General features: G+C 45.2%; 1 protein-coding gene across 23 annotated transcripts in view, besides 1 other annotated feature; it reads right to left on the reverse strand.

Annotated features, from left to right (window-relative positions):
* Positions 6,787–22,982, reverse strand: part of FGFR2 (fibroblast growth factor receptor 2) — a 120,129-nt gene continuing 103,933 nt past the window's right edge. For 13 of the 23 annotated variants that reach the window (NR_073009.2, NM_001144918.2, NM_001441090.1 and 10 more), the window contains 5 exons: positions 16,448–16,570; positions 15,811–15,881; positions 13,852–13,989; positions 12,155–12,260; positions 6,789–8,478 (listed from right to left, as the gene is read on the reverse strand). Coding sequence is in view for 22 of the 23 variants with exons in the window: in NM_001144918.2 (NP_001138390.1) it covers positions 8,314–8,478; positions 12,155–12,260; positions 13,852–13,989; positions 15,811–15,881; positions 16,448–16,570 (603 nt within the window). In the remaining variant the exon portion in view is untranslated. Of the gene's footprint in view, positions 8,571–10,280; positions 10,635–12,154; positions 12,261–13,851; positions 13,990–15,810; positions 15,882–16,447; positions 16,571–22,982 lie in introns of those variants that run through there. The other 10 variants (XM_017015921.3, XM_017015920.3, XM_006717710.5 and 7 more) reach the window with 5 other exon arrangements.
* Positions 13,526–14,059: an enhancer, noted in NCBI's record as "H3K27ac-H3K4me1 hESC enhancer chr10:123244583-123245116 (GRCh37/hg19 assembly coordinates)". NCBI's record gives its function as "activates a minimal SCP1, AML or CMV promoter by ChIP-STARR-seq in naive H9 embryonic stem cells {active_cell/tissue: H9 hESC(naive)}" and the evidence as "EXISTENCE:reporter gene assay evidence [ECO:0000049][PMID:30033119]".

Below are 22,982 nucleotides of genomic sequence, written 5' to 3' on the forward strand. Positions count from 1 at the left end.
TTGTAGATCTAAGCCAGGGGTCATCAAATTTTTTCATAAAGAGCCATGGGTAGTAAATGTCTTCAGTTTTGTGGGTAATCCCTGTCGCCACCATTCCACTCTGCTGCTGTTGTGGGAAAGCAGCCATAGACATTATGTACATGAATGAATGTGGCTGTGTCCCAGTAAATATTTACGGACACTGAAACTGGGGCTTTATATAATTTGCACATATATATATATATATATATATATATATATATATATATATATATATTTTTTTTTTTTTTTTTTTTCTTTTTTTGAGACGGAGTCACTCTGTTGCCCAGGCTGGAGTGCAGTGGTATGATCTCGGCTCACTGCAAGCTCTGCCTCCCAGGTTCATGCCATTCTCCTGCCTCAGCCTCCCCAGTAGCTGGGACTACAGGCGCCCACCACCATGCCCAACTAATTTTTTGTATTTTTAGTAGAGACGGGGTTTCACCATGTTAGCCAGGATGGTCTCGATCTCCTGACCTCGTGATCCACCCACCTCAGCCTCCCAAAGTGCTGGGATTACAGGCGTGAGCCAAAATATATATTTAAAATAATACTTTCAACCATTTAAAAATATTTCTTAGCTCATAAGCAGTACAAAGGCGGGTAGTGAGCTGGGTTTGGTCTGTGGGCCTCCATTTGTCAGGCTCTGAAATAAGCAACAGCAGAACAAGCCCTCCCACTCCCTGCACCCCTCAGCCCAGGTTTGAAGTTTGGACTTTGCCTTTTTCATTCACAGCTCTGGCTGCTACTGGGTGAGAGCCAGCCATCAACAAGGAATTTCTGCATTTTGGTGAAACCTAAATCCGGCAAGAGGCAACGAAAGGGCCAGTCTCATGGGGAGTCAAGACCAGGCCAGGAAGAAGAGGAGGCTTCCGATTTCCTCTCCTGCTGTGATCATGTGTACAAAGATATACACAGCCTCCTTCCAGAAGAGGCAGCAAGTCAAGTCACAGAACAATCTGAAAGGGCAGCCTTGAGCCCGTGTTCATGTTCCAGCCATCTTCTCCCACTTAAACCTCTGCAGTACACGCTGTAGAAGTGATTAAGAACATCTAATGGACTTCCCCACACAACGGAAAGTTTATTTCACTCTCCAACCCTGTCAGGTGAACGGCGCTAATTTTACAATTCCCAGAAATTCCGCAGCCCCTGAACCATACACAATCCTAAACTTCGAGAGCCCCAGGCTTCCTCCGTTTTTCCCATGTGATATTTCCCTTTGTAACACCACCCATTTCAATTTGCTTGTAACAACACCAAACCTGGAGCCGGAGAGACCTTGCCGTGCAGAAACCATCCTGAGCTGCTCCTGTTCCGGTCTGCCTTTGAGATCGTGGTACTTCACCATTCACCAGCTTGGTCTGCGCATGTCTTTTTTTTTTTTTGGAGATGGACTCTTGCTCTGTTGCCCAGGCTGGAGTGCAGTGGTGCAATCTTGGCTCACTGCAACCTCCGCCTCCCAGGCTCAAGCGATTCTCCTGCCTCAGCCTCCCGAGTAGCTGGGATTACAGGCATGCCGCCACCATGCCAGGCTAATTTTTGTATTTTTAGTAGAGATGGGGTTTCACTACGTTGGCCAGGCTGGTCTCAAACTCCTGACCTCAGGTGATACACCCGCTTCGGCCTCCCAAAGTGCTGGGATTAGAGGTGTGTACCACCGTGCCTGGCCTGGTCTGTGCACTTCTAAAAGTGTTTAATTGTCCCTTAAAAATCATATTAGGCATTCATTGCCTATTTAGTATTCGTAAAGTGAATGCTTGTTTAAAAAGGGAACCATAACAGGTTGAATGTTATCAATACAACTTCATAAGTTTTTGAAAATTTTGATCATTATTTTCATTGATTTAAAACTTATTAACCTGGGCGCAGTGGCTCACGCCTGTAATTGCAGCACTTTGGGAGGCCCAGGCAGGTGGATCGCTTGAGCTCGGGAGTTCAAGACCAGCCTGGGCAACATGGCATAACCCCAGGTCTACAAAAAACATACAGAAATTAGCTAGGCATGGTGGTGCATGCCTGTAGTCCCAGCTACTCGGGAAGCTGAGGTGGGAGGATGGCTTGAGCCCAGAAGGACAAGTCTGCAGTGGGTCATGATTGTGCCACTGCTCTCTAGCCTGGGCAACAGAGCAAGACCCTGTCTCAAAAAATTAAAAAAAAAACAAACCAAAAACTTATTAAATGTTTTTTGTTAAAAATTGTGTGTACAATGGACACTTGTGTTTGTAATAGATTAGCAATTTCACAAACAAATTTCTTCCGCAATGACAATTTTATATCTATACACATACACATATTTTATCTTCATATTTGTTTCAGTAAGTACATCTATGTCAAATAGCTGTAGATAGACAGATGGAAATAGCAGCTAATACCTGAGTGTTGATAGTGGCTAATATGCAGCAGGCACTGTTTCATGCTTCCCAGGTACAATCTCATTTAACTCAACAATCCTTTGACATAGAATCATTTGTCATCCCACTTACAGACCAAGAAAGCGTTCTTTGCTTCTTTTTTTTTTTTTTTTTTTTTTGAGACGGAGTTTAGCTCTTCTCACCCAGGCTGGAGTGCAACGGCGTGATCTTGGCTAACTGCAACCTCCACTTCCCGGGTTCAAGCAATTCTCCTGCCTCAGCCTCCTGAGTAGCCGGGATTACAGGCATTAGCCACCACACCTGGCTAATTTTTGTATTTTTAGTAGAGACAGGATTTCACCATGTTAGTCAGGCTGGTCTCGAACTCCTGACCTCAGGTGATCTGCCTACAGCGGCCTCCTAAAGTGCTGGGATTATAGGCATGAGCCACCGCGCCCAGCTGCTTGATTCTTAATTTATAAATCTGTAAGTGTCCTCTGTCCCTTTCAAAGAACCTCATGCTATGGATTTTAACTAGTAAGAGACACCAGCAAGCGTCAGTTAAGTGTCCTCTGTCCCTTTCAAAGCACCTCATGCTATGGATTTTAACTAGTAAGAGACACCAGCAAGCATCAGTTAAGTGTCCTCAAAAGAGAATTAGAGGCTGGGAGCAGTGGAATGGCTTGAACCCAGGAGGCGGAAGTTGCAGTGAGCCTAGATCATGCCATTGCACTCCAGCCTAAAAAAGAATTAGAAGAGGAAAAGAAACCTAAAAGGAGTGCAGCCCAAAAGGAGGCAGTGTTCTGAGCTGCAGAAGGAAAAAATCACCTACCCATATGTGCACGGTAAGCTGAATTCAGTCACTGAACAGCTTCATGTGCTGAGGTATCCCTTTGTAAATTGTATTTCAAAGGTCCGGAGCGGATGGTTCCCCAGTGCCGGACATTGAATGCCCTCCCATCCACTGACTTCTACAGCACCTCATGTGACCTTCTGAAACAGGACTTCAAGGCAATTTGGAGGAGCCCATTCAAAAATCCCAGACACCCGGCATAAAAAAAGGGCACAAGAAGGGCCCTACTCCAGAATGTCACTTGAGACATGGACGGCTTCTGCTGTCCCTGCCCAGGGTCGACAGCCAAGTCATTTCAAGGCTCCTGGGGATGAAATGTGAGAGAAGATAAACTTTGCTTTCATCTTTAAAACCATGAAAAAATAAATAACATCAAAATGCAGGCTTGGTAAGGAGGAACCTAATGGACCCACATACATAAGTAATGGTGCATTCATTAGTCCGCATGGACTGCTCAAGCTTGCGTGACTTTACTTGGTATAAAACTGGGGATGTGAGGACAGATACACTCAAGCATTCCAGCCAGAAAGATCCTGCATCCTTGCACCACTTAGCAGTGCTTCCTTCCTCTCTCAGCCAAGAGGGAAGACAGGGAATTGATTGGTTTCTCAGCTTCTCCATTTCATGAAGATCCACTGAGGCATCTTAGCTACCTTGGCCATTTCATCAGTGTAGAAACCAAGCTGATTAATTGAAGTATCTTTTTCTGGAAAAACCAGGAAAGCATTATGTATCTTTATTCAATGATCTGCATCCTATCTCCTCAGCTACGAAATTCTTATGAAGATACTTCATATCCACTAGGATGGCTATAATAAAAAATATGGATAATAACAAGTGTTGACAAGGATGTGGAAAAACTGGAATGCTCATGCACTGCTGGTGGGAATGTAAAATAGTGCAGCCACCTTGGAAAACAGTCTAGCAGTTACCATATGATCCCGCAATTCCACTCCTACATATATGCCCAAGAGAAATGAAAACCTGACCACACAAAAACCCAGTACATGAATGTTCATAACAGCACTATTCATAACTGGAAAGTACAATCTAAATGTCCATCAATGGACAAATGGATAAACAAAATGTAGTAAATTTATATCATGGAATAGGATTTGGCAATAAAAATGAAGTGCTGTTACAGGCTACCGTATGAACAAATCTTGAAAACATTAAGTGAAGAAGTTGGACAAAAAAGGTCACATAGCATATGATTCCATTTACATGAAATGTCTAGAGTAGGCAAATCCATAGACAGAGAGCAGATTGGGGGTTGCCAAGGACTGGGGGAGGGGGAAATGCAAGTGGCTAACAATGGGAATTTGTTGGCTTTATGGAGTGATGAAAACGTTTTGGAATTAGATAGTGGTGATGGTTACACAACGTGGATATACTAAAATCACTGAAATGTAGAAAAAAATTCTCAGGAAGTAGAAAACGAACACTTATTGAGTCCTGTCTGCCACAGCTAAGCCCTACAGCAAATCCTCATGGCAAGTCGAGAGGCTGGTGAGGACCAGGTTCACCTAGAGACAAACATCCAGACAGAAGCTGGGATTTGCGCACCATCACCCAGCTGTAAGAAACAAACCAATCAATTCTGTCCAAGCCCACAAGTCCACTGTCTTTCTCCTGCACTGAACAAGGCTGCAGTCTTGTTCCTTAGACCACATCCCAGCCATGTGACCCTCAGGGACCTCAAGCGGAGCCTCAGCTTCCTCTTCTGTCCTAGCTGAGCCCTCTGGACCCAGCCCTGCAAGCAATCTTCAGTGATGCAGTATAAGGTAGCAGCCCCATTTCTTGTTTTCAAAACTGGAGGTGGAGTCCTCAGTTCATAGCAGCTCAAGTTGTTCAGACGTTTTACTATAAATGCATGTTTTAATTTCCTATGTTCCTATGTGTGGGGTTAAGGAACTCCCCACAAGATCAGATGCAGAGAAGCTCCCTGAGGAGGGATGGAGAGGCTGTGTGGTGGATGCAGGGTACCCTGTCCCCTGGGAATGCACAGAACCCCCGTGAAGATGCTACTTTTCCACCCGCTTTCTCTGGCTCCCCATCCTGCCAGAGGCTACCATCAGCTAGACGTTTTGAGGCAGCCTCTTGGATATGCCTTTCCCAGTTAGGAACAGCAGGCCGGGCACTACACATCCAAGATGCCTGCAATCTTTTGGTTCTTCACAAATGAACTCATCTCATGATGGTTAGGTGACCATCACATGTAGTTGCAACTAATTTCCAACGCTCTCCTTAGGTTCTTGGGGGAGGAGAGCCATAAGCTCCAGGATTCTTATCGAATCCTACCTGTGTATGCTCATTTGGGACAGGTCTCAAAAAAAAAAAGGTACTGTATTACCTATCATTCTCATGGACCACACTGCCTTCTTGCCCTTCATGACAAGTGTCTCTTTCAAAATAATTCTAAAATCAAAATGGCCAAAAGACCATTTAGGATTCTTGCCCACCCATCTCCATGAAATGGGCCAGAAATACAGCAGTTCTTACTGCCATTATAATCTACACTGTCAAGGCTATAAACTGCCCTTCAGTGTCTAAAGTACAGCATATGCACCAGAGAGCTGCACGGAGGAACCAGCGTAGACCCCAGCAAGTCCATCCTCACCCTTGCCAAGGACATCTCACGGTAGAAATGTCCCCAGGGGTACAGAACATCACCCTGTACACTTGTGTCTAACAGGTGACAATTTTCTTAGGTGGCTTTCATGCACCTTATTTTTAAAATCACATTCCCAAGAGCCCTGTTATCCTGTAAGAAACAGAAGGACAGAGGTTTGGGAAATACAGAACCAGGACCCTAGGCCACTCCCCTGATGGCTGGTGACACCTTGCTCCACCATGAATGGCCTCAAACAGAAAGAAGACCCCAAAGACAGCACTCTTTACCAATGGCCCTGTAAGGTTCTAAGAGCCTGGCTGAAGTGCAGGAGAAGTTGGCCTATGTTCAATTCCCTTTCCTGCTGCTGATGAGGCTGGCAAGTAGATACAACAGACCCTTAAGAGTCACAGATTCACATTTGTTAACTGACAGGCAAAACTCCATTTCCCTCTTCAGATCGTTGGTGGTATGAAAATAAATAATTATTCGAACATTTGTCCAAGTTTTCTTTTGGAAAATTTGAAGCAAATCCTTCTCTCCATACATCATGAAGAAAACAGCCTAAAAGGTTTTTAAGTCCCCAGGATTCAGATGTTCTGAACGTCTTCCCTACTCAATACCTGTCATCCTTAGGTCACCTTCCAGTTTGCAAAGCTCTCTACCATGTGGCTCTTTGTTTGCTCCTCTGGGGAACTGGTAGGGCTCAGAAAGGAACGATGATTCCATTGAGGTGCCAGTAAGCAACCGAGCCAGGGCTCCAACCAACTGATTCAGATTTTCCACTGGATCAACCTCAACCTGTCACAGGTACTGCTGGTCTCAGTCAACCCCTCTGGCAAGTCACCCCCGTGTGTAGCACATAAGACCCTTGGCAGCCCTGCCCTTCCTGCATTCACAACAGCACTCAGTCAGCACCTCCAAGCACAGGAAACCATTTGGTAAGACACGAGTATTAAAAAAATAAGTTGCGTGACATTTATTTTGTCTTGTTAACATTAATATCTGTAGAAACATTTTTATTGTCAGTATAAAAATTAACAGGTTTTATTAAATACTTTCTCCAATTTTGTAACACATAAGATCAGTGTAATCTGCATTCATCTTGCACGGCTATTGCAAAGTGAGTGGGTGTTTCCAAAGCAAAACACAATACTTTAGTACAGAAGGAACAACGGCGATATTTTGTCTGATGTAGGTATGAGGCTGGATCTTTTGGTGAGGTCCTGCCAGAATTAGATGAAAGCAATCCCTTAAAAAGATGGACGTATCCCCAAAACTATCAGCAGAACAACTCTGTGTTTCAATTTTCTATGATGGGACTTGAAGATCCTAACAGGCGTCTCCAACGCCAAAGAGTCTGGAAGCCATTATCAAAATTCACTGAAGAGAATACAGGCTAATCTGATTAATGTGCAACTCAGAAGCAGAAGGCCAGCTGCCAGAGAGAAGCACATTCTGCTATCATTTCAACTAAGGTCTGTCCTCAAGGAATGGATTAAGGCATCTTTTAAGAGGACGCTGGTACCATTTATCTTGGGAAGTCCAGTTAGACGTTGCGTTGACGTAATGACAGGGTTGCACACCAAAATGAAACACCTTCCTATGAATGAGTTCTTTTAATATGGGGCATTTAGGAGGTCTAAGAACAATCGTCTGACAGCAGCATTTAAACACAAATAAATCAAAACTTCATTTTCCCCAAATTAGTCATATATTGTAAATATTCTCTTTTCAAAGGATCTGATAACTAGTTAAGTCCAAGCAATAGATTAACTAGTCTGCTGTGCTGCCTGCATAGAAATGCCACTTAAATTACAAAAAAAACTATAAATGATTAATTGTTTTGTATATTACCAATTTATTAATAAATTAACGTTATACCATTTTCCCTGAAAGCAAAAGTATTTTTCCACCTCTGCTCGGTGAAAATTAAGAAATTATGTGTAAGAACAGCATTTAGCAAATAGCTATTAAAAAAAGAGAGACCAATTTTCTAGGTGCATTGGGACATCCATTTAAAATCAATACAAAAAATAACTCCTTGTAAATATATAATATATATTTATACATAATTTGAATATATTTACATACATCCAGCACCTATATACTGCATTTGTGCTCTGTAAGTGTGTGCTGACATAAATCTTCTCCAATTATTACAAAATTAACAAGGAAGGCAGAACGCACGTCCACCTTGAGTCCTACTGGTCCACAGCCAGTACGCACGGCAGGTGAGAGGGGTTACATGGTGGCTTGTGGCAGTCCACTGCTCCAGAAACCTTCTTCTCCTCCTGGGGAAGATTACAAGTTTTCAACTGTATAAATCTTTACACATATGCTGATTACTTTTCCAATTATTTACTCCTCTGATCCATATATACAAGTGGAGACAACAAGCTCTGGGAGGCATGGTCTCCCTGCTCAGTGTAGCTAGGTTCCCAGTGCTGTCCTGTTTGGGGACAGGCAGACACAGTCATTCATGTTTTAACACTGCCGTTTATGTGTGGATACTGAGGAAGGCATGGTTCGTAAGGCATGGGGTCTGGAGAAAAAACAGAATCATCTCCTGAAGAACAAGAACTTCTTGTGTCAGGGTAACTAGGTGAATACTGTTCGAGAGGTTGGCTGAGGTCCAAGTATTCCTGAAAGAAGGGAAGAGAGACGTTTTATTTCATCTTGGGTCAGGATAACAAGGTGAATACGGTTCGAGAGGCTGACTGAGGTCCAAGTATTCCTGAAAGAAGGGAAGAGAAGAGTTTTATTTCAAACACAAACTCTTGAGATGTGGGTATTGGACGTGGGACAGGACAGGAGACCCCTAGAAGGTGAACAGAGACCCAGCCCACCTGACTTCCACGAAGACCTCCCTGAGACCACGTCTGATGTACCCCAGGCTGTCCTTAGCTTTTCTCTTGGAATCCATCATAAATCAACTATTGACAGGTAGAGAACAATAAAACCTAGTTGAGCTATAGGTGCTGGGCAGGCAACTCGGCTTCACACGGACCTAAATAACCCGCTGAGTCTACACCACCTCCTCACTAGAGCCCTTGCTTCAAATGCGAGCCCCAGCAAAATGAAAACCGGTAACATGTTGTGGGTCCCCAGACCCCCTTTAAGTAGTTGAGACTATGAATATTTATTTTCTGAATTACATTTTACTATTGTAGTTTCGGGGATAATTGAAGGGGAATACTTCTTCATTCAGTGGGTAATTTAACAGATGTAACTGATTACTCTCAGAAGCTCTCCGAGTTGAAAATGTAAACAGGTTCAAAAAAGGCTTAGACATACTCATGTATGTTAAATCCATAATGCACTGTTAAAGGAAACTTCAGGAAAATATCGGTTAAGTTTCAAAGTTTTGAAGGTTCGAGATTCAGAAAGTGTCCTTTGCTCCCCAAGGCATCCAGTGCTGGTGCTGCAAAAAGCCCTCTGGATCACCCCAGGGTGACACTTCCTCCGACTTGGGTGCCCACAGACGACTTTGTATGGCCTGAGGGCTAAAGATGGTCTTTAACATTGGTAAGCGGTTGAAAAAAAAAATCAAAAGAAGAAGAATATCTTATAGGATTAAAATGAATAAAATTTATATACAATTATATAAAATTCCAATTTCAGGATCCATAAAATTTTACTAGAAGACAGACTAGAACACATCTATTTACATATTGTCTGTGGCTACTTTGAGGCTACAGTGGCGAAGTTGCAACAGAGACCACAGGGCCGGCAAAGCTGAAAATATTTACTCCCTGGCCCTTTACAGAAAGCAGTTGCCGACCCCTGTTCTGAAGCTATGAAAAGCTTTCTAAATTGGGAACTTGTGGGTCTCTCTGCCTCCACTGGGCTGGCACAGTGGGGCAGTTCTGCTCACACATCCAGAAGCCAACAACTATTCTATGACATGTGGTTTTGCTGAGAGGGGGCAAAAAGTGCAGACCACAGCACAAACAGCCTCAGTGTTATCAGAAAAGAGCCCATGGAATGTTGGCAACTAGACATTTTTAAAGACACACACACACACACACACACACACACACACAAAACCCTCTAATTCATCACCAGGGTTGGCAAGAGAAAGAGTCCCCATCCCAGCATCCCAGAAGGGGAATGTATCAGTTCCAACAACATCAGCATTAACCACACAACTGGAAACAAACACGCCCACCACATCAAAAGAGAACTTTTTGCTTACAATGATAAAAACGAAATTTTGTCCTAAATGGAACCGTTTTTCTTGAGCATATGGTAATGATTTTCAGAAGGAAAGAAACTTCGATTTTTATATCCACCAGACAATATGGCATTCTGCTTTTTTATTTTAGGGTACTAGATACAAATTTCAGTATCAACGGACCCACTCTACATGTAAATATATAAATAAATCACTTTGAGCATAGACATGAGATCATTAAAATAGAACTTTAGTGCTTTTCCCGGTTTCTTTCTTTTTTATTTTTATTTTTTTTTTTTTTGAGACGGAGTCTCGCTCTGTCGCCAAGGCTGGAATGCAATGGCATGATCTCGGCTCACTGCAACCTCCGCCTCCCCGGTTCAAGTGACTCTCCTGCCTCAGCCTCCCGGAGTAGCTGGGATTACAGGTGCACACCAACACGCCCGGCTAATTTTTTGTATCTTTAGTAGAGACAGGGTTTCACCATGTTGGCCAGGCTGGTCTGGAACTCCTGACCTCATGATCCGCCTGCCTCGGCCTCCCAAAGTGCTGGGATTACAGGCATGAGCCACTGCGCCTGACCAACTTTTCCCAGTTTCTCAATGAAGCCATAAACTTTCAGATCTGATAGGAAAAAAACAGGGATATCAGTAGATTCCAAGTCTACAGTTAAAGGAACTTATACTAGAAACAACAATTTTGGCAGAAGAAGAAAGTTGGTTTCTTCCCCCCCTTGAACCGTTCCTTTCCTTTCAACTTCTGAAGGTCAGCTGTATTCATTTAAGTGCAATCTCTTCCTTTATCCAGCACAGGCCACAGTCAGACGCATAAGATAAAGCTGCTGAGCTAAGACTTCATATCACTACATTTGATTATTACTTTTTAAAAAATCACTCTAAAACTATTTCCTAAATCAGAAATTAAGTGTATTATTTTCCTTCTAAAATACTTGGGGGACTTTAACTTTTTTCTTGTTGAGACAATTGCATGGTTTGGAGTTAGTTTCCTGTGTAAAAGAACACTATTGTGCATCCTCATTAAATATCTCAAAATACATTCATTAACAATTTCTCTATCTTAAGATTTGACTAGACTTGATGGGTTTATCATCTTTCCTGCTCAGAGCATATGCTTTCCATAATTATAAAAGGCACTCTATCTGCATATTGAAGGAGCCACTGACATGGCTAAATTTGCACAGTGAGTGACAGACGAGTGTTTATTTTGTTGGCAAGGATCATAAATTATTATTATTTTCTTTTTGAGATGAAGTCTTGCTCTGTCTCCCAGACTGGAGTGCAGTGGCGCAATCTCAGTCACTGCAAACTTCACCTCCTGGGTTCAAGCGATTCCCCTACCTCGCCTCCTAAGTAGCTGGGATTACAGGCACATACCACCACATCCAACTAATTTTTGTATTTTTAGTAGAGACAGGGTTTCGCCATGTTGGCCAGGCTGCTCTCGAACTCCTGGCCTCAGGTGATCTGCCCTCCTCGGCTTCCCAAAATGCTGGGATTACAGGCGAGAGCATAAATATTTTAGGGAAAATAAATATTTTAACAAAAGGTACATGTTTTTATGTAAAAATCATGTAAGTTGCTCATTGTAGAAAACAGTGTATGTTTATATACACCTAGAAAGAGGCTGCAAGGCATATAGCATTACCAACAGGATCACATAGGATAGTACTGTGGTAACAGAAGCTGGTGTTAGAAAACTTCATTGTATTCCATCAAGCAAATGATGACGAACATTATCAGTTTACCCACTAATGACCAAAGCACAGAATCAAACTTGCACAGGAATCCAAGCTTTTTCCCATGCACACCAAAATGCAAGTGAATACTGCTTCCCCTTTCCCACTCTCCCACATACCCCGGACTGCTCCACCAGCAGCTACACTGAAGGCAGCCTCGGGGATGTCCCTCTGTCTTTGGTTTCATGAGTCAGAACTCACAAAATGAAGTTCTGAGAAAAATCATGATTTGAGAGGAACCCATAGTTGAACTATCTGACCCTATGGAAAAAGAATAAACAAGACCACAGACTCCAACCAACAGCCAACAGGGGAGTGTGTGTGTAAAACACTACGCATGTCTCACAAGACAACCAAGGACAAGGGGCTTCTAGAAGGAAGTTCTTACCTCATTGGTTGTGAGAGTGAGAATTCGATCCAAGTCTTCTACCAACTGCTTGAACGTTGGTCTCTGGGAGGGCACTGCATGCCAACAGTCCCTCATCATCATGTACCTGGGAAAAATGGATTTCCTTGAATTAATTTCATATGCACTGGGTACGTGGTTATAGTCAGTTTTAATAGGCAATATGGGGACGTGGTGTAAATTAGGAAAATGCATCAGAACCTTCCAAGCAACTAGATTAGGGGGTCATGAATCACTTTCCCAAAAGCTTCCCTGCCAGTTCCTCCGAAAGGCACTTTGACTTACAAAAACATGTTAGAAAGGCATCGAAGCCATCAAGAAAGACACAGCTATGTGTTTTCCCTGGTAACCCTGGGCCACAGTGACATCTCACAATGGCGTCACACCCTAAAGATGCTTTGGAGGCTGAAGGAAAATGCGTATTTCCATGGGCTGGTCTCCAGTCTTCCCTCCCCTGACACCCTGCCCAGCACCAAAGCAGCTCCACTATTTATCTGCCCGGTGCTTTGGGTCTTAATGATTCTAGTTGACACAGCTTCCTGAGTTAAAAAAAAATTAAATAAAATTTGAAAACTACAACTTCAAGTTTTTGATGAATTAATCTGCCACCACTGGGCTGCACACTAACTTCCTGATTAACTCTTAGATAGGCTTAGCTTCCCAGGTCTTATCTTGATTTTGGGTTTCGACAGATCCTCTACGTTACAAAAGAAAAAAAACAATAGGAATGACAAAGAGCACAATAAATGCCTTTATATAATATGCTATAAAATGTGGCCATTCATCAGACATCCACGGTACACCGAAAAGCACTCACGGGATTACTGATATAAAATCCCCATGAAATGATACACAATAGACCGCAGTTTCTGGGACAATCACTCTTCTTAGTTAATCCTGGAGGGGTTGAGGCAGGAGGCAGAGAGACTCCTTTCAAAGCACTGATTCTATTGCACCAGGCACACGTCACAAACACAACATAACTCCACTTAAAGTGTGAGGCAGGTTTTGCTACAAACCAGTTCATGGTTTTACAGGCAGATCTGGTACAGTAAGGAGGGCGCCTGGACACATGTTTAATTCTCTGCACTAAAACACAAGTGAGACCTAGGTAACCAAACACGAGTTCCTTCGCTCTGAGGAAATGTGGTTGGCGTCAATCTGTAATGGCAATTTTCAATGGTTCGAGAAGTTCTGGAAACACCGATTCTCTACTGGCCACGATGGGGCCAGGCGGGGGCCAGGCACAACCACCAGGGAAAGGCTGTGTTGGTTCCTTAATCCTACACCCTGCAGGGCGGCCCCGCGGCTTTCTAGCTTGTTTCCTGACCCGTGGGTCTTCCTGTCACTCCACGGGAGACCGCAGAAGGTGCAGCACAGTGGCCCAGGAAGACCACTCCTGCTGGCTCTGCAAAGTCAGGAGCCCTCAGCCAGGCAGCCAGACACCCTCTGATCCAAAGCCCTCTCCATACTCAGAATAATGTTCTTTCTCTCAGACAAGTAATGGTTGTCGGTGTCGCTATGTATCCCAGCTCTGGATTGAGCCCAGAGAGCTTCAGCCATTCTTCTTAGAGCATGTTTAGGAAACCAGGGGCCTTCAAAAACGAGATACATCAGGAGAGGTATTACTGGTGTGGCAAGTCCACTGGGGCACCGGCAGGAAAGACAACAGCCCTTACAGTTCGTTGGTGCAGTTGGCTGGCTTATCCATTCTGTGTCCTTCCTTCAGCAGCTTAAAAAGTTCCTCCACGGGAATCCCTGGGTAGGGCGAGCCCCCTAAAGTGAAGATCTCCCACATTAACACCCCGAAGGACCAGCTGCAACAAAAGGAGAAAGCACGGCATTACTAACCCATCCACGTTGCCAAAACCTAAACACGCCCAGCTGAGACATAAACACCTCCTCACTTCTGAAGTTCAAAGACAAATGGGCCCTCCTGCAGTTCCTCCTATGTGCTCTTTCCTGCCCTGCAAGAGCATCCCCGAATGATGATGACACGGGGATGTGCTGATGGAATTTTCCATCAATAGACAAAAAGGCAAACTGCCATCACTCTGGAATAGAGCTGCTTGTCTTAAATGTGGTGTTAGCAATGCAAGGATCTCAGTTTCTCAGTTTCAAAGCCTTTACGCTCCTTTCCAACTCCTTATGTGCCTGACCCAAGGGTTGTGATCTACCAGGATGGGCAGTTGACAGAATAAGGCCAGCAAGCCAACTCCGCAGGATCACAGCTGCCCTGTGTGGCTGGCGGAACATCTGCTGCACAGAGGCTCTGGAACTTACTAAGATCGCAAAGGCAATCAGCACTGGGCTGGGGTTAGGATGAGGAATCACATGCCCCAGATGAGTTGCACACAACAAAACTGAACACATCTCACAGGCCATAATTTATTTACACTTGACTCTTCAGAGATTTGGACTTCCTGTGCCAAGTTCAGGAGGCTCAATCTCTGGGAGGAGCAAGCTGAGAGAGCCAGGTTTAGCTACATCATGGTCGTTCTGGAAACTCAACCTTCTGTACTCGATGGTGGTGTTTCACTCCGCAGTTTTCTACAGAGCAAAAGCAGCAGCACAGGACAGGCAGAACAGCCTCTGTGCCTCAGTTGCTCACAGCAAAAATGGGATAGTCATGTCTTTTTTTTAGGATTGTTGAGAGGACCAACTATGGTAGCACAGAATTAATGCCTACCCAGAACTCCTCCTGCTCATACAAATAAAAAATAGTTCAAGTGATTTTTTTTTCCCCAGACAGAGTCTCGCTCTGTTGCCAGGCTGGAGTGCAGTGGCACAATCTCAGCTCACTGCAACCTCTGACTCCCAGGTTCAAGCGATTCTCCTGCCTCAGCCTCCCAAGTAGTGGAGATTACAGACACGCATAACTACGCCCAGCTAATTTTTGTAGTTTTAGTAGAGACGGGGTTTCACCATGTTGGCCAGGATGGCCTTGATCTCCTGACCTCGTGATCCACCCGCCTTGCCCTCCCAAAGTGCTGGGATTGATTACAGGTATGAGTCACTGCACACAGCCTTCAACTGAATTTTCAAATCTAAAATATCAGTTGGAGCCTGACCCCACTGGTTTTGTCAGTATATCATAATAGAAATATTCTACTGTGTTTCTAGAATGCTATCAAGGATGCCAAAGCAAGATCAGACCTTTTTGTTGAGGGATAAACATAGAGAGTAGACCCTGTGGAGGTCCCCAGCCTGGACCACATCTCACTCAGCTCCACTCTTTAAGGACAAATCTGGGTTAGAGGGAAATATGACAAACTACTCGTAAGTGGGAAAAGCTCCAGGATTACTCCTTTAATGGAGTGAAGAACATGCCAAGAGCTTGGCGAATTAGATAACCGCTTTGTAGTTGCACATCCATGAATATGTTCAAGGGAAGGACTTCCGCTCTGGCAGGGGGAGGTCAGCAGTTCCACCTTCTGTGCTCTTTGAAGCCAGGCAGATTAGTAACAGAGCATTGGTTATCAGCCTACCATAAAATCTGTCCTTTCTAAGGCCAGCTCCTGCACCTTCTACGAATGTGTGAAATGCAGCAGCCACTAAAGAAGGAAGAAAGGTGAAGTACGTACAGTATTTTTGCAGCTCAAGCCCAGGAAAAAGCCAGAGAAAAGAGAGTTACTCACACATCACTCTGATGAGTGTATACTCTATCAAACAGGGCTTCTGGAGCCATCCACTTGACTGGAAGCCGCCCCTGCAAATGTAGAGGAAAATGCAAAAACTAAATATATTTAAAAGAATTTATCTTAGCAGGCTCAATAGGGCTATGCCCTGTTTAAGAGCTGATATTCTCGGTTTTTACTAGTCAGTCAATAGAGCAGAAATCAGTCCCAATGAGGACCATGAACAATGTGTGAGATGCACAGGTCTGGGCCGTTAATAAAATGCCATCTCCTTGGATTCTATCCTTTATCTCCCTAGCACACAGATGCTCCTTGACCAGTTATTAGGCAAAAATTAAACCAGTAACTTCCAAGCTGTAGTTTTTGCTATGAAAGTTCTTGATGAGAACCATAAGAAAATCCTAGCGGTTGCTGATTATTCTGTATATAAGTGTTTCACATTTACTAAAATTGACATAATAGAGGCTAAATTTGCATATTGAGAGTTTGTGAATAGTAAGTCAAAAGAACGGGAATCGGGGCAGGGGAATGGGTCCCCAGCCATCCCACCCAGCTCTCAACATTGACGGCCTTTCTTCCTGGAACATTCTGAGCCTCACCCCCGCCCCTGCCCACTGTGTTACTGCCATCGACTTACATTGGTGGTCTTTTTGTAATAGTCTATATTGTTGATATCTCTGGCGAGTCCAAAGTCTGCTATTTTCATCACATTGTTTTCTGTTACCAAAACATTTCTGGCTGCTAAATCTCGATGAATACACTGAAATCAAGAAAGAAGCAAGAGAAATAACTAATTTCAAAACACCGCCAGAACAAAAAGGAAATATGTTCATTTCTTAAAATGCAGATAGAAAATATAGCTGATGTTAAAAACCAGTTGCGGTATACTATAAGAAATACAGTGTGGCCGGGTGCGGTGGCTCATGCCTGTAATACCAGCACTTTGGGAGGTCAAGGTGGGCGGATCACTTGAGGTCAGTAGTTCGAGACCAGCCTGGCCAACACGGCAAAATCCCATCTCTGCTAAAACTACAAAAATTAGCCGAGCGTGGTGGTGTGCACCTGTAGTCCCAGCTACTCAGGAGGCTGAGGCACAAGAATCACTTGAACCTGGGAGACAGAGGTTGCAGTGAGCTGAGATCACGCCATTGCACTCCAGCCTGGGTGACAGAGTGAGACTCTGTCTCAAAAAAAAAAAAAAAAAAAGAAAGAAAAGAAAAGAAAACGCAGTGTGGCTCTAAGATTAAGAAGACAGGTCAACTGGGATCATCGGAGAGCCTGGATCACGACATGTATTTGTTTTGGAATTATAAATAAATAGAATGATCATTTTGAAGAGCGAAGGTAGACTAAATAACCATATTCTCTTCTACCTCCAGTTGTCCAGCCACACCAGTGTCTTTCTTTCAGCTGCTTATAGATCTGTATCTGATCATCCTAAAATCTTTTCTCTCAACACTTGCTCTCCTGCCCTTTAAACCTGAATTTTCAGAAGCGTTGGTTAAAATCCAACATTGTGTCTTCTTCATTCCTGGTCACTTCTCAAACATTCTAATCTGTGTTCCACTCTTGCCTCTCCTGAAGCTTATGAAGAACCTCTGAATTGTTAGACGCAAATGACGTCCTCCAACTCCTCAGTTGTTCCTCCTCTGTGGCTTCAGATGCTATTGATTTCTTGCTTGTTTTTTAAAATGGTCCCTCTGTTTAGGTTTTCTTGTTTTTGTTTTTTTTGTTTTAACATGGAGTCTTGTCCTTGTCGCCCAGGCTGGAGTGCAATGGTGCGATCTTGGCTCACCGCAACCTCCGCCTCCTGGGTTCAAGCGATTCTCCTGCCTCAGCCTCCCGAGTAGCTGAGACTACAGGTGCCTGCCACCACACCCGGCTAATATTTTGTATTTTTAGTAGAGACGGGGTTTCACCATGTCGGTCAGGCTGGTCTCGAACTCCTGACCTCAGGTGAGCCATCCGCCTCGGCCTCCCAAAGTGCTAGGATTACAGGTGTAAGCCACCACACCCAGCCCCTCTGTTTAGTTTTATCCCGTCCCCTTCCCTCAGCTGCCTCTCTGTCTCTCCCTGCCCTCTTAGAATCTCTGGCTGGCTCTTCTCTTTTTCTGTCCCTTCAAATAGAGGAATTGTTCCATTAAGTTTATGTATTTCCATATATCCTCAAGGCATTAATTCTAAACACATACAAAATATGCGCAAGTTCGTATCTCCATCATGACCTCCCTCCTGAGACCCATGTTCTCATTTTCAACTGTCTATGGGACACTTCCCCACTGACATTCCCTTGACGTCTCAAATTCAAGGTTTCAACTCCTCCAATGCTTTGTCTCTCTTAATCGGAGAGCTATACACCGGTATTCTTTACACATTCCTCCCAAGTCCTGTTGATTTCAACTCCAAAATGCCTTCCCATGTGTCCACACCATGCCTTTCCCACTGCTAATGCCTTAGTCCAGGCCATCTTCACTGTCTGCCCCTCCCCCTGAGACTTCCACACTGCCCGTCTAGCGGGTCTCTACGCTTCCAAACTTAGCCCTGTTGTACCTCCTCCATGTCCCATGACTAAGGTTCCTGAAATGACTAGTCATGTCCTTTCTTGGTCTCTACCATGGCCAATGCCCGTCTATCCACGTTCTCAGTCCAGTTTCTCCTAACACCTGGCCTCAGCCTGAATGTGCCACATACACTGATTCTAAACACTGAAATATTAAATACTTGCTGCAGAACAGCTAATTTATTGTCTTGACACTAACTCTTGGGTCTCAGAAAGATCTAGCTATTACGACTTTTCCTTCTTTTTTTTTTTTTTTTTTTTTTTTTTGAGACGGAGTTTCACTCTTGTTTCCCAGGCTAGAGTGCAGTGGCACGATCTTGGCTCAATGCAACCTCTGCCTCCCAGGTTCAAGTGATTCTCCTGCCCTCAGCCTCCCAAGTAGCTGGGATTGCAGGTGCCCACCACCACATCAGGCTAATTTTGTATTTTTGGTAGAGATAGGGTTTCACCATGTTGGTCAGGCTGGTCTCAAACTCCTGACCTCAAGTGATCCACCCGCCTCGGCCTCCCAAAGTACTGGGATTATAGGCGTGAGCCACCACGCCCGGCCTATGATTTTTCCTTTCTACAAATGATACGCTACTGTGAGCTGCTGCATTTTTGTTACACTTTCATATAGCAAGATTTCCACAAGATACAAGGTAATTAGGGTCTCCAATCATCACCTTCTATTTTGGGAAGAGATAAGACACAAAGAAGCAAATATCACCACCGAAGCCTTTTACACTGGTTATTGGCAAAGGTTAACTATCATACGAAGCAGAAAGTCTTATCAGTCCATTCAACAAGGCTGAAATGGGGGCGATCTTAGGCACTCCACGAAATGGACAATTAAAAAAGGGGCAAGCTACGTGATCCCTGAAATATAAATAAGGAATTATTTGATTCCACCCCGACCCCTAGCTATTCCTTGTGTTCACACACTTCTGGGCCTCCCGGGTAGCCTAAGCCCAGAAGCGGGAAAGCAAGAAAGCCACGCAAGCTTGCAATCCCTGGCCAGGTTGGAAGCAGGAAACATGAGAGCTCACAGAAGCTGCCTGGAGATTCGTCTGGGGCTGCAGCCCTGTTCCCAGTTTTGGAGGCCTGTTCAAATTGAACTTCCAAGCCCCGGGCCAAACTCTCCCGGTGGTGTGCTCCTGCCGACACGCGCTCTGTGTGTCTGGCAAGCTGTGTGGTCAGAAGAATGTGCTTCCCACGCACTGGGCTCCAACTATGCATTAGGGCTCAGCTTGCACAGAGACACTGCTGACGGCTCCCTCCACCATCTTCTCAGCGAAAGCCAGAGTCTAGCGTGGCCATCCCTCATCCCAGGGGCTAGGAAACATCAAACCCCAGCCTCTGGGTTGAATAAGAGGAGACTTGGAACCCACACCCGAGAAAAAGAAAGTAATCAAAGGCAAGCCAAATCCCCGTCATCCACAGGAATGTCAGCCGTTCTCCAGCACAGGGAGCTGACCATTTTATACAATTAGGGCCCTGGGACAGTTTGGTGTTCCATAGGTGAAGGTCAGTGGGTCACTAAGGGAAGGAAGACCAACATCCCTATGATGTAGACAGTATGCCCTGTGCCCAGTATGGCTGATGACATCGAATTCCTGCGGCAACCTATGACATGGATAGTGTTATACCCATTTTACAGGTGGGGAAGCTGGGGCTTCACTAAAAAAACTGCTCAGGCTGAGCGTGGTGGCTCACACCTGTTATCCCAGCACTTTGGGAGGCCAAGGCAGGCGGATCCCGAGGTCAGGAGATGGAGACCACCCTGGCTAACACAGCGAAACCCCATCTCTACTAAAAACACAAAAAATTAGCCGGGCGTGGTGGCAAGCGCCTGTAGTCCCAGCTACTTGGGAGGCTGAGGCAGGAGAATCGCTAGAACCTGGGAGGCAGAGGCTGCAGTGAGCCGAGATAGCGCCACTGAACTCCAGCCTCGGCAAAAGAGCTAGACTCTGTCTCAACCAAAAAAAAAAAAAAACTGCTCAGGGCCAGGCGCAGTGGCTCATGCCTGTAATCCCAGCACTTTGGGAGGCTGAGGTGGGCAGATCACTTGAGGTCAGGAGTTCAAGACCAGCCTGGCCAACATGGTATGGTAAAACCCCGTCTCTACCAAAAAATAGCCAGGTGTGGTGGTACATGCCTGTAGTCCCAGCAACTCAGGAGGCTGAGGTGGGAGAATCACTTGAACCCAGGAGGCCAAGGCTGCAGTGAGCCAAGATCACGCCACTGCACTCCAGCCAGGTGACAGAGTGAGACCCTGTCTCAAAAACAAAAACGAAAAACAAACTGCTCAGGTTTAACACTTTGAGGGTTAACTGGGTTTGGGATTTGGTTAAAAAAGTAAAATTAGTGTGATTTGAGCTAAAAATAGTAAGGATTTTATAAATTGTGTAAGGCTCAAATACCCTATTACCTAATTGCATTGCTATATACACCATGGTGTTTTTTCACTTCTCTGTCTCCAATCCCCAACCCCTACCCCAACACTCACACACTCACGCACACACACACATGTACACACACAACTGAAAGCTGCTGGAGGCCAGGCACTGTGTGTTCATCTCAATCGGCCCAGCGCTGAGCACAGATGAACCCAGTACATCAGTAACGATGTAATCAACAGTTCTCTTTTGCCCCTTCCTTCAGGCAAGCAGGTCTCTCACAAGCCCATGGCTCCCCATTGTGAGGGGATGGGTGTGGGAAAGCCAGGGCCGGACCCTTTGCCTGGTTCTTCATTCTCCACTTTCAAGAATAAGCCCTCCATTTTTGGAAGCAGAGCCCTCGCAAGGGGACCATGCTTAACATCTTCATCTACCTCCATTTTCAAACCTATTCTGGGTCCTTAACTGCAGGTGGCCTCCAGTAAGTGGCTTTGGAACCATGCCATGTCTTAAAGGCCCATACAATATCCCTTTTACCTTGGGCTGTTATTCAATGTAGAGACAATGAGGCCACACTGGGGCACTAAACAACCCCTCACCCGCCCCCCACGTGGAATCTCATTGGTCTTGCCTCAGTTTAGAGAGAGTTAGGGGCCTCATGAGAGCAGGAGACAGCTGAGTGGGGGACCAGGAGACCTAGGTCTGGGACCTGCCACTCCACTCTTCAGACCTACAAGTCCGCTTCTCAGAAGTGAGGACATCTGAGTCCTCCTGACACATCTGGTCTCAAACCATTCATGCTGCTTCCTCATCGTCCTCCCCCATACAATGGGGATCCAAATCCCACCTATTTCCGGGTTGTTCTGAGGGCTACGTAAGATGCTTTATGTCAAATGCTCTGCCACGGTGCCTGGAAGATGGTTAGCTTCTCCCGGAGGGGTCAGTAATTAATAATAACGATAGTTACTATTATCACAACACTTTAATATGGGTACTTCCGTTCTTCCACGATTAAATGGATGCATTTGCCCTGCTTAGCAAAGTTCGTCTCTTAGTTTTCTCTCTGCCAGCTCCAAAACAGGAAGGAGCTCTGGGTCCTCAGGGCTAGGGTGGGCAGGGGTACCACCACTGCCTCTAGGACCAGGACTCAACACCCGTGCTTCTCACCAGTCTGAGCGCCGAGGCTCTACTACCTGCCCCCTCCTTCCTGAAGCTCCCATGTGGGGCCTCTGTGCTCCGTGTCCTGATTTTCCTACTGCTCAGGCTGTGCCTGCTCGGCCTCCGCTGCTGTTTCTGGTGCTTTCAGTCAATCTCTAGATTTGAGAATTTTCTCAGGACCTGACTTCAGGCTTCTATTCTCCTCTTCCAAGCTTCTCCGCAGATGAGTTTGTCCACGCCCATGGCTTGAACTCACAGCTCCCTTTGCTGCCTCCCAGCTGTTAGCCCACCCTCAGAGCTGAGCTGCTGCCTGCAGCTTCTTCATTATCTCCCCTTGGATGACTCAGATACGCTCAAGACGAGCTCGGATTTTCCACCCAAATCTATGCCCCCTGCCCCAGCCCTGATTCCCAAGTCCTCCCAGACTTGGAAGCTGCACCACCATCCAGTTTTTCAAGCTGGAAATCCAGAAGTCACCCTTGATCTCTCTTTCTCTCCCTCCTATCTAATCAATCCATTCATTATCCCAAGAGCAAAATATGTCCAACATCAGCCCACCAGCTTTTCTCGGTGTCTTTGGACCCAACAGACCCTAGCCCAAACCATCATCACCTTTGACAGGGGCTCAGCCTTCCCATTCACCACACAAGCAGCAGTGAGAGGCATTTTTGAAGCACTAACTGATCCTCTTCCTCCCCCTCAGAGGCTTCCATGGCAGTGACAGCAAAGTGCAGCGTCCTGGCATGAGTAAGGCCTTATCCCCCTGTTTCCTCCATGGCACCTTTTTCAATATTTTTTTACAACCTTATTTTCATTCCCACATTTACAGTCAATTTCTCTTACTGTCACCCATGGTTCTTGCCCCAGGAGGTCAAGGACTATGTCTCTTCTGGCCACTTCGCTGGAGAGCCTGACCAAGGGCATGAGACATCGGGGGTGCTCTAGGAGTAGATGTTGAAGGATTTAATAAAATGACTGAGCCAGCCCTCCTACCACATTTCCCCTAGTAGCACCACCCTGCTGGGTGCAAAACTGCTTCCCCTATCTCCCACACAGGTAGGGCAGGGAGTGATCAA

The sequence above is a fragment of the Homo sapiens genome, chromosome 10 (assembly GCF_000001405.40).
Source record: "Homo sapiens chromosome 10, GRCh38.p14 Primary Assembly".
NCBI lineage: Eukaryota > Metazoa > Chordata > Mammalia > Primates > Hominidae > Homo > Homo sapiens.